At 41.0% G+C, this 12054-nt stretch overlaps 1 protein-coding gene across 1 annotated transcript in view, besides 2 other annotated features; it reads left to right on the top strand.

The window, feature by feature from the left end:
• HEMK2 (HemK methyltransferase 2, ETF1 glutamine and histone H4 lysine) overlaps nt 1–12054 on the top strand; it is a 309770-nt gene that overhangs the window by 20944 nt on the left and 276772 nt on the right. The window lies entirely within an intron of this gene.
• Nucleotides 7020–7519: an enhancer, noted in NCBI's record as "H3K4me1 hESC enhancer chr21:30229227-30229726 (GRCh37/hg19 assembly coordinates)". NCBI's record gives its function as "activates a minimal SCP1, AML or CMV promoter by ChIP-STARR-seq in primed H9 embryonic stem cells {active_cell/tissue: H9 hESC(primed)}" and the evidence as "EXISTENCE:reporter gene assay evidence [ECO:0000049][PMID:30033119]".
• Nucleotides 7520–8021: an enhancer, noted in NCBI's record as "H3K4me1 hESC enhancer chr21:30228725-30229226 (GRCh37/hg19 assembly coordinates)". NCBI's record gives its function as "activates a minimal SCP1, AML or CMV promoter by ChIP-STARR-seq in primed H9 embryonic stem cells {active_cell/tissue: H9 hESC(primed)}" and the evidence as "EXISTENCE:reporter gene assay evidence [ECO:0000049][PMID:30033119]".

The following is a 12054-nucleotide window of genomic DNA, read 5'->3' as shown; positions in this document are numbered from 1 at the left end:
ACATCTTAAATGCTAATGTAAGACCCATAGGGGTCAAATTAATACACTTTTTAAAGTGTCTAATATTTGAAGCTGTAGAAATCTTTTTAGCTATTTACCAAAGGTGTCTTTTGCTTTAGAAGGCCTTTGGTTTTATAGCTCTCTCTCTCTCATCTCTAGATTTATGCAAAAGGAGGTGGGTGGTTAAAGTTCTAGGTTGGGAATGCCAGCTCTTATGTTGCTATAACTTATAATCCTTTCATCCAGCCAAGGGGAGGATTCTGTTCAAAAGGAACATTAAGACTGTTTCTGGGGGCCAGGCACAGTGGCTCATGCCTGTAACCCCAGCACTTTGGGAGGCCAAGGTGGGTGGATCACTTCAGGTCAGAAGCTCTAGACTACCCTGGCCAACATGGTGAAACCCTGCCTCTACTAAAAAAATACAAAAAATTAGCCAGGCGTGGTGGTACACACCTGTAGTCCCAGCTACTTGGGAGGCTGAGGCAGGAGAATTGCTTGAATCTGGGAGGTGGAGGTTGCAGTGAGCCAAGATCGTGCCACTGCACTCCGGCCTGGGCGACAGAGCAAGACTCTGTCTCAAAAAATAAATAAATTATAGAAAAGACTGTTTCTGGTGCCAGAGCAGCAAGTGTTCAGTGAGGCCAAGGAATAAGAACAGTTTCTACGGTCCTGATAATCTTACTCTGAAAAACAGAGAAATGACAGACAGTCTCTCCTTGGTGGTCTCTTAATCTGAAGTTTATGGACTTCCAGAAACCTGGCCACCCTCTGTGTATACGTAAGGGCTTTTTCCTTCTAGAGAAAGTATGTCTAGCTTTGTTTAGGTTTTCACCAGTGTCTGTGATCTCCTGTAAGTTAACACCACTTACCATTTTCTCAAAGCCTTGTAGTAGAATACAGTAAAACGGAACCTTGGTTTATTAGCGTTCTCTAGAGGGACAGAACTAATGAAGTATATATATATATATATATATATATATATATATATATATATATATATATATATATATATAAAAGGGAGTTTATTAAGTATTAACTCACACAATCACAAGGTCCTACAATAAGCCGTCTGCAGGCTGAGGAGCAAGGAGAGCCAGTCCAAGTTCCAAAACTGAGGAACTAGGAGTCCCGCGTTCACGGGCAGGAAGCATCCAGCATGGGAGAAAGATATAGGCTGGAAGGCTAGGCCAGTCTCTCTTTTTACATTTTTCTGCCTGCTTATATTCTAGCCATGCTGGCAGCTGATTGGATTGTGCTCACCCAGATTAAAGGTGGATCTGCCTTTCCCAGCCCACTGACTCAAATGTTAATCTCCTTTGGCAACACCCTCAGAGACACACCCAGGATCAATCCTTTGTATCCTTCAATCCAAACAAGTTGACACTCAGTATTAACCATCGCAAATCCACCCCTTGTCAACTTGAGCCTATACACATCTGCTGAGATCACACATAATCTTCAAATAAAGGCAATAATAAGGTCATAATGACACGTAACATAATTCAACTATCCTTCGTACAACCAGAAACGCACCAATCCCCGACCCAAATACATAAAGTTAACAGTACTTAAATGCTGATGTGAAGTCAATAAATCTTATGTCACATGATAAAGGAGAAAGGAAATAAAATGAAGATATTTTCTTAGTACAAGTGTATGCATGCAAAAACATGTTTTTAACAAAAGGAGGAAATACTCATGACAATTACAGTCCTTCTTTCTGCAGTTGGTCACATGGTCGTAGCTGGTACTGATGACTACTTTCTTTTTTTTTTTTTGAGACGGAGTCTCGCTCTGTCGCCCAGGCCGGACTGCGGACTGCAGTGGCGCAATCTCAGCTCACTGCAAGCTCCGCTTCCCGGGTTCACGCCATTCTCCTGCCTCAGCCTCCCGAGTAGCTGGGACTACAGGCGCCCGCCACCGCGCCAGGCTAATTTTTTGTATTTTTAGTAGAGACGGGGTTTCACCTTGTTAGCCAGGATGGTCTTGATCTCCTGACCTCATGATCCACCCGCCTCGGCCTCCCAAAGTGCTGGGATTACAGGCATGACCCACCGCGCCCGGCGACTACTTTCTTCTACTACTCATTCTGTATTCCTTTTGCCTTCAGCAAGCATCTCAGCAGGTCGTGGTTTTTTTCCTAGTGGAGTGACCCAAACCTTTATTCCTGAAGGGTCTGGGTCATTTGTAGTCCTGCCTGGATTGGGCTCTTGTAGTTTCCTACTGACCTTAATCACAGGGCATGGTAATACTAAGAGACACCCTAATTAATCTCCTGTATTCTATGCAAACTCTTCCTTACCTCCTTTGTGAAGTAGTAGACTGATTTCATCTTGAAAGTCCAGGTCAGTAACCCCAACCAACACTGTAACTCCCTTCTTAGTGTGTTGACTTAAAGGTAGGAGGAGCCCAAAGTGTCCAGGTGGCAATCTTAACTTCCAGTTTAATGGAATTGTTGTGTCTCCTGGTGGCAGCATTCCTCCCTCTGCAATTAAGACCTCTAGGCCAGCACAACGTAATGTGGCGGGAACAGGAAGCAAAAAATTTGGTAGCTGATTACTAAAGGTGATGGTGAGTGGTGCCACTTCCACTTCCACCCCTTGATTCCTGGACCTGTGAATCCTGGCTGTGAGAGAAACAGTACCGTATATTGGACACTGATTCACAGCATACATGGCCTTCTGGAGAACTTTGCCCCAGCCCTGCAAAGTATTGTCACCTAGTTGGCATTGGAATTGTGACTTTGAAAGGCTAATCCACCATTCTATCAATACAGCTGCTTCAGGATGATGGGGAACATGGTAAGACCAGTGATTTCCATGACCATGACGTCTCCTTGGGGAAGGATGGGAGAATCACTGCATAAAGTGTTGGTAATATGGTGGGGTCCTTCCTCAAGGGGAAGTAAACCGTAAACTGGCTCAAGTCTGGAAATTGATTGAGGGGCCGTGATTCTCTGTATTTGTAATTCAAATTAGTCTTTTGTCCATTTGACCTAGAAGTTTTCTGCTTATATAAATTAAGAATGCAGTAGGCTTCCTATCAATTTCACTTCTAGGAGCACCATGATTAATTAGCCAATGCCAGAGCTCTACATGAGTCAGACTATTCTGATTGCTGCTTTGCCTCTGCTGTTTATTACAGCAGGTATGCCCACCTTGCCTTTGATAGTTGAGTGCCACCACTTGGCCCCTGCCATCTTGTGATCCAGTTACTCCCATTGTATTTTAATTTTGTAGTCGAGTGTCTGCAGTTCTCACTGTTAGATCTGACATGCAGACAAGAGCAATTACAAGACTCTTCAAAGATGCAGGTGCTGCCTTCACGAATCTGTTTCGCAAGACATTGGTCAAGGGTATATCTTCTGCACCCTCCCAGCTGGGACGAATAGGTCTAAAGTGTCTAATTCATTCCACCATGCCAATTTCCCTAAGCCTTTGGATCCCTTTTTCTACATTAAACCAAGGAAGATCAGGCATTTCCAGCTCATTCACAGTGGGCCATCTTTTAATCCATATTTCAGCTAATCAAGCAAATAAACTATTAGAACCTTTTTTAACTCCCTGAGCTGCAACATTAAATGCAGAGTCCCTACTTGGTGGGCCCAAATCAATAAATTCAGCCTGATCCAACTCCATGTTCCTTCCACCACTATCCCACACTTTTAATATCCATTCCCATGGCTGTTCTCCAGATTTCTGTTTATATAAATTAGAAAACTCAAGCAATTCTTGTGTCTGTTTTTTCAGTTTCAGCTCTTTCTCGACAGTAGATAAGACTGTCACTCAGGGCAATCTTAGCAGATTTGAGGCTCAGTATCTGCTTCTGAAGCCAGGAGATAGAATCCTTGAGTTCATAATTTTTTAAAATTTCTTTGTTCAGTGAACTTAGGAGCAACCAACTAGGTTCATTTTGTTCTATATATACATATATTTATATATGTATTATATATGTTATATATATATATTTTGTATATATAAAGGGGAGTTTATTAAGTTTAACTCACACAATCACAAGGTCCCTTCATAGGCTGTCTGTAGGCTGAGGGGCAAGGAGAGCCAAGTCTGAGTTCCAAAACTGAAGAACGTGGAGTCCAGTGTTCCAGGACAGGAAGCATCCAGCAGGGGAGAAAGATGTAGGCTGGGAGGCTAGGCCAGTCTCTCCTTTTATTTTTCTGCCTGCTTCTTTTCTAGGCACGCTGGGAGCTGAGTAGATTGTGCCCACCCAGATTAAGGGTGGGTCTACCTTTCCCAGCCCAGTGACTCAAATTTTAATCTCCTTTAGCAACACTCTCAGAGATACATCCAGGATCAATCCTTTGTATCCTTCAATCCAAACAAGTTGACACTCAGTATTAACCATCGCAAGTCCACCCCTTGTCAACTTGAGCCTATACACATGTGCTGAGATCATGCATTATCTTCAAATAAAGACAATAATAAGGTCCAATCAAGTTGACACGCCATATTAACCATCACACTCAGTATATCTTGTTTCCAACGATGAAGCTCAGATAGTTCATTTATTCACTAATTAAAGACAAATATTGGGGAAAAGGATGAACAGTATCATTTTTGGGGACATAGTGACCTAAATTTGGTTACTTTTTTTCTATATGGAGAGCTGGGGGAGGGGGATGTGAGCCTGAGGTTTCCACACTCAGGTCTGGGGTGGTGAGGGCAGCTGCTGCTTCTCCTTCCAGCATCCATGGGAGTCCAGCCATTCAGAATTCTCCACAGTACACCTGAGGTCCCCATAACTATCAGAGATAAATAACCACAAATGTGAGGGTACCATAGATGAGAGATGAAAATATCAGACAAAAATTAGAGCACAAACCCAGTAGAAGAGAATTGTTAGAAGAGCAGAAGAATGGCTGAATTGAAAAAAAGTAACCACACTTAAGGCAGTGGTTAAAAGACTTCTTTGACTTTAATGCCATGATTTCTCAAATAACTCAGTAGATACATTTAAGATAAGGATGGTGATTATTGACATCTGAATTGGTAAACTGGATGACCAGGTGCAGGGAAAACGTCAAAGCACAAATGAAAATTGTAGGCAACTTGAATGCAAGATTTGAGGATCCCTACCATAAAAATAATTGGAGATTCTTAAGGAAAAAAAAGAGCAGATGGAAGATAGGCAATCATTAAACAAATACTAAAAAACAATTTATCTAAGGTAAATACAGTTTTGAGACTAGAGTGTAAGAGCTTTCCAAGTTGCGGGCTTTACTGATGAGACGAGATACACACCAGGTATGTCCTGAGTGAATCCTGGAACTTTAATAATGAAGATAATATTATAGGCTTCTAGGTAGAAATAACAAACAACCAACAAAGGGAAATATGAACAAAGCTTTGGGCAATGGAATCCTCTGTTATTTTTTAATTAATTTACTGAAAGCTGGCTGATAGTGAAATAGCATCAATTAAAGAATTGGAACCCAGAGTCTTCTCAAATAAGATAATTGACCTGTCAGAGTGACAGAGAGATATGTGAGGATAAATAAAAATTCAGAGTATATCAGCCATGTACCCCTTTTATTTTATTTTGTTTTGTTGTTATGTTTTAGAGAGTTGCTCAGACACCCAGGCTGGAGTCAGTGGTGCGATCATAGCTCCCTGTGACATTGAACTCCTGGCATGGTCCCTTTTAAAAAATTTCTTGAGAAAATACTCTAACTGAGCAATAAATGAACCAGAGCAGAAACCTTAGGATGGAGAAAATAAAGAGGCAAGGCAACAAGGCCACAGTGGTGAGCAGCAATACTTGTCCTTCCCTCCTTCCTTCCCTCCTTTCCCCACTTCCCTCCCTGCGTCCCTCCCTCCTTCCTTCCTTCCTCCCTCCCTTCCTCCTTTCCTCCCTCCCTCCTTCCTGTTTTCATCTATACATCTATCTGAATAACAACATAGTATCTCAAAATGTGATCTATAAGCAAGTCTCCTGAAACGGGAAGGATAAGACATTTCTAAAATGTACTACCCAAATTCAGAAAACTTAGGAGCTGGTGATTGTGGTAACAATGGAAAGTAGAAGCTTCCCAAGGTTATAACTGGTGCAGAGAATGAAGTTGGGGAGGAGAAAGGAGAAGTGAAGGTAGTCTATGGGCTTCAACTTATTGGGGTTAAGGAAGAAGTAGAGGTGAAGTAGGGCATACTGATGGGGGAAAAGAGTGGTTAGGGACATAGTTGACAGATTGTAGACTAGGGTACAAACAAATCATAGCTATTTGCTATGTACAAGAAAATAAACCCCGCTTAAGCAGTGTTAACAGCTTAAATTGAGAATTGAGTGAAGAGATAAGAGACATATTCAAATAAAAAGAAAGGAGCATGTGGTAGAACCTTGCAGCTGTTTTGTTGTTCAGTCGCATAAAGATAAGACCAAGGATAGAAGATCTTTATTGTAGGATTGTAGGCTAAGTGGGTCAGCATGACCTATGAAACAAGAGGCCTGTTCCTGTTGAAAAGTCAAAGCCAACCTTAACACCTGACACAATCTGGATACTGTTTGTATGAACAGTGGACTGTGTGGACCCTGTTCTTAGAACATATATAGCTTTGTGACGTAAGTGTTAAACAGTAGAAAGATTTAACATAGAGAGTAGATTTAACATAGAGAGTAGCTCATATAATCTCTTTCCCTAAAGGAGGGAAATCTTTGGTTATTCTTAATAAGACCCAGAACATCTATGTTCTGGCAGGATTGCAATTAATTTTACATAACAAATGGCAATATTAATAACAGACAAGGTTAAATGTAAGGTTAAATGCACTGAAGAGGCATGTTATATAATAATGAAAGGAACAGTTTATGAAGAGTATATTACATTTATAAATCTGTATTAAATGATACAGCAGCTAACTACATGAGGAAAAAATTTGGGAAAATAAAACTATCATGAGAGACAAATTATTTCTCTTTCAGAATTACACAGGTCTAGTTAAAAACAAGCAAAAAAAAGTTATACAGAAAAGAATCATACAATCAATAAACTTTAATAAATGTACATTAAAACTTACATCCTTTCAACGAAGAATCTTTCTTGTATATGTTCATTGAACATTTACAAAATACGTTTTGTGCTTGTATGGTGCTTGGTTTCAGGAAAACCTCTACAATTTTAAGGTAGAAATTTTGTAGTTTGTGTTTTTTTTTAATCAAATTCAATAAAATTAAATAACAAATTCAATAAAATAAAGAACTTTATACAAAGTTTGCTAAAAAGTTTAATCTCCTTGGAAATTAATAAGCATACTTCTGGGTAACTCTTCAATCAAAACAAATTTAAAAGGGAAACTATAAACTCTGTGTAAAACACATGGTCATCTTGGGCAATCTCCAGCCTGCTGCTGCTGCTGGCTGGCTAGAATTCCAAGCCAGTGGGTCTTAACTTGTGAGGTGCTGTGGGAGTGGGGCCCAGTGAATGATGCCACTTGGCTCCCTGGCTTCAGCCACTTTCCTAGGGGAATGAACAGATCTCCTGCCTTACTGGAATTCCCGGGGCTGGAGTATGCAAAAACTCCTGTGTCTCCATGCATGCCTGAGCAGCTGCTGGGAGTCCGCACAGCTCAGTGCTTCAGACCCAAAACCCTGGTAGCATGGGCCCACGAGGGGATCTCCTGATACGCAGGTTGCATAGATCCATGGGAAAAGTACACTTTCCTTGGCAGGGTTGCACAATCACTCATTGTATCCCTTGGCTAGGGGTGGGGGATCCCTGGCTCTGTGCTGCTCCTGGGTGGACTGTCGCCTGACCCTGCTTTTCCTCACTCTTTGTGGGTTGCACCAATTGCCTAGTCAGTCACAATGTGACAACCTGGATACCTGGATACCTCAATTGAAGGTACAGAATTTACTCGATACTTTCATTCTTCTCTGTGAGAGGTGCAGACTGCAGCTGCTTCTAATTGGCCATCTTGGACCACCAGATTTTTCATTCATTACATGGATTTTATCAAGCCAAAATAACCTTAATTATTATTATTCTTTTTTTTTTTTTGAGATGGAGTCTTGCTCTGTCAATCCAGGCTGGAGTGCAGTGGCACGATCTCAGCTCACTGCAACCTCCACCTCCCAGGTTGAAACAATTCTCCTGCTTCAGCCTCCCAAGTAGCTGGGATTACAGGAACCTGCCACCACTCCTGGCTAATTTTTGTAATTTTAGTAGAGTTAGGGTTTCACCATGTTTGCCAGGCTGGTCTCAAACTTCTGCCCTCAAGTGATCCACCCTCCTTGGCCTCCTAAAGTGCTGGGATTACAGGCATAAGCCACTGTGCCCAGCCCAAAATAACTTGTAAAAAAGCTGCCAAAGGTGCCCAACAAATAAAATAATATATCACTCTAACAAAGGAATATAGAGAATAATTCTGAATACATTTTACCTAATAATATCTGCAATGTATTTAAAAAACATATTATTTTTTGTCTTCTGCTAGTTTGGTTCGGTCTTGTTTCTCTAGCTTCTCTAGATGTAATGTTAGGTTGTTAATTTGAGATCTTTCTAATTTCTTGATGTGGGTGGTTAGCATTGTCAACCTCCCTCTTAACACTGCTTTAGCTGTGTCCCAGAGATTCTGCTATATTGTATGTTTGTTCTCATTAGTTTCAAAGAATTTCTTGATTTCTGCCTTAATTTCATTGCTTACCCAAAAGTCATTCAGAAGCAGATTGTTTAATTTCCATGTAATTGCATGGTTTTATATGATTTTCTTAGTATTGATTTCCATTTTCATTGGACTGTGGTCTGAGAGTGTGTTTGATGTAATTTTATTTTCCATTTTTTGAATTTGCTGAGAGTTGTTTTCTGATTGTGTGGTTTATTTTAGAGTATGTGCCATGTGCAAATGAGAAGAATGTATATTCTGTTGTTTTAGGGTGGAAGAGTTCTATTAGGCCCATTTGGTCAAGTGTTGAGTTCAGGTCCCAACACTTATAATTAATATCTTTGTTAGTTTTCTACCTTAATGGTCTGGCTAATACTGTCGGTAGGGTATAGAAGTCTACCACTATTATTGTGTGGGAGTCTAAGTCTCTTTGAAGGTCTCTAAGAACTTGCTTTATAATCTGTGTGCTCCTGTGTTGAATGCATGTATATTTAGGACAGTTAGCTCTTCTTGTTGACTTCAATCCTTTACCCTTATGTAATTCTTTCCTTTGTCTCTTTCGAATGTTGTTGGTTTAAAGACTGTTTTGTCTGAAATTAGAATAGCAACCCCTGCTTTTTTTTTTACTGTTTGCTTGGTATATTTTTCTCCATCTCTTTACTTTGAGCCTACAGGTGTCATTATATAAGAAATAGTCTCTGGAAGACAGCATACAGTTGGGTCTGCTTCTTTATTCATCTTGCCACTTTATGCCTTTTAATTGAGGCATTTAGCCCATTTACATTCAAGGTTGGTGTTGGTATGTGTGAATTTGTTGCTGTCATAATGTTGTTAGCTAGTTATTACGCAGACTTGATGGTGTGGCTGCTTTATAGTGTCAATGATTGTAATGGTTAATATTGAGTGTCAACTTGATTGGATTGAAGGATACAAAGTATTATTTCTGGGTGTGTCTGTGAGGGTGTTGCCAAAGGAGATTAACATTTCAGTCAGTGGACTGAGAAAGGCAGGCCCAACCCCAATCTGGATGGGCACAATCTAATCACCTGCCAGTGTGACTAGAATATATGTAGGCAGAAAAATGTGAAAAGAGAAACTGGCCTAGCCTCCCAGCCTGCATCTTTCTCCTGTGCTGGATGCTTCCTGCCCTCCAACATTGGACTCCAAGTTCTTCAGTTTTGGAACTCGGACTGGCTCTCCTTGCTCCTCAGCCTGCAGATGGCGTATTGTGGGACCTTATGATTGTGAGTTAATACTTAGTAAATCCCCTTTATATATCTCTATCTCTATCTCTATGTATATCTATAGATATAGATATATAGATATATCTATTCCATTCTGTCCCTCTAGAGAACCTGACTAATACAGATTTTGGTACCAGGAGTGGTTCTAGAGGAACAAAATATTAAGGTTGGAGTTCTTTCATTGGTTTTAGGGTTTCTGGACTTGGCTGCTTAATATGATTAGACCCAAAAATGTTAAGGACTCTACTTCTAATAGTGTGGAGAACACTTATAATCCTTGGCATGAACTGTATAGAAAGTTATGCAAAATAAATGCATTTGACATTCCTGATGCATTGGTGATTAGAGGCAAGGAACTTAGCAACTGTATACTTAATACCTTTGATCATATGTGGGGAACCAAGGAAAATAATGAAGCTTGTTGGTTGCTCCTAAGTTTGGTGGACAAAATGATGAAAATATATAATGAACTCAGGGATTCTGTCTCCTGGCTTCAGAAGCAGATACTGAGCCTCAAATCTGCTAAGATAGCCCTGAGTGAGAGTCTTATCTCCTGTCGAGAAAGAGCTGAAATTGTGGAAAAACAGACACAAGCTCTTATCGTGTATATGGCTGACCTGCAGTGAAAGGTGCATGTACAACCTCACCAGGTGTCTACTGTTAAAGTGAGGGCCTTGATTGGAAAAGAATGGTACCCTGCAACTTGAAATGGGGATGTGTGAGAGGACCCTGATGAAGCTGGGGACATTGAGCGTGTAAACTCTGATAAACCTTTTTTTGCCTGAAGAAATACCTTCCTCAACTCCAATAGTGGCAACATCCCCTCCCCAACCCATGCTGCTCTCAGCCTTTCCACCTTTGTCTGAGGAGATAAACCCTACATTGCCTGAGGCAACAGTGATGGCCTCCCCTGAGGCAGTTTCCAGGCAAGATAATGTTGATTCTCCTTAGGAGCCACCCCCAACACTCCTGTTTGCTTCTAGACCTATAACTAGTCTAAAGTCCCAGTAGGCCCTTAGAGGTGAGGATGAGAGTGTGACCCATGAGGGGGTGTGCTACACCTGAAAATAACTGCTTGAGTTTTCTAATTTATATAAACAGAAATCTGAACAACAGTCATGGGAATGGACATTAAGGGTGTGGGATAATTGTGGAAAAAACATAGTTGGATCAGGCTGAATTTATTGATTTGGGCCCACTAAACAGGGACTCTGCATTTAATGTTGTAGCTTGGGGAGTTAAAAGAGGTTCTAATAGTTTATTTGCTTGGTTAGCTGAAATGTGGATTAAAAGATGGCCCACTGTGAGCGAGCTGGAAATGCCTGATCTTCCTTGGTTTAATGTAAAGAAAGGGATCCAAAGGCTTAGGGAGATTGGGATGCTGGAGTGGATTAGTCACTTTAGACTTACTCATCCCAGCTGGGAGGGTCCAGAAGATATATCCTTGACCAATACTTTGTGAAATAGATTTGTGAGGGTGGACCTGCCATCTTTGAAGAGCTCTGTGATTGCTCTTCTCTATATGCCAGATCTAACAGTGGAAACTGCAGCCATTCAACTGCAAAATTTAAATGCAATGGGAAAAATTAGATCCCGAGGTGGCAGGGGCCAGGTGGCAGCACTCAACCATCAAAGGCAAGGTGGGTGTAGCTACCAGAATGGACAGCAGATGCAAAGTCGCAATCAGAATAGTGTGACTTATGTTGAGCTCTGACATTGGCTAATTAATCATGGTGTTCCTAGAAGTTAAATTGATACGAAGCCTACTGCATTCTTACTTAATTTATATAAGCAGAGAACTTTCAGATCGAGTAAACAAAAGACTAATCTGAATTACAAATACAGGGAATCATGGCCCGTCAATCAATTTCAGTACTTGAACCAGTTTACAGACCTATAACCCCTTGAATGAAGGAGAGGTCGGGTCTTTTTGTGTAAGGACCCCACTACACTACTGACAATTTATGCTGTTAATTCTTTCTCCAATCATTTCCCAAGGACACCTCTAGCTTCTACCAGGGCAACTGTGGATTGGGGAAATGGAAATGATCAGACATTTCAGGGACTACTGGACACTGGCTCTGAGCTGACATTGACTCCAGGGGACACAAAATGTCATTGTCGTTCTCCAGTTAAAGTAGGGGCTTATGGAGGTCAGGTAATTAATGAAGTTTTAGCCCAGGTCTGACTTAAAGTGG

This window comes from Homo sapiens, chromosome 21, assembly GCF_000001405.40.
Source record: "Homo sapiens chromosome 21, GRCh38.p14 Primary Assembly".
Classification (NCBI taxonomy): Eukaryota; Metazoa; Chordata; class Mammalia; order Primates; family Hominidae; genus Homo; species Homo sapiens.
Note: the sequence above shows the minus strand (reverse complement) of the source record. Positions and strands in the feature narration are given on the sequence as shown.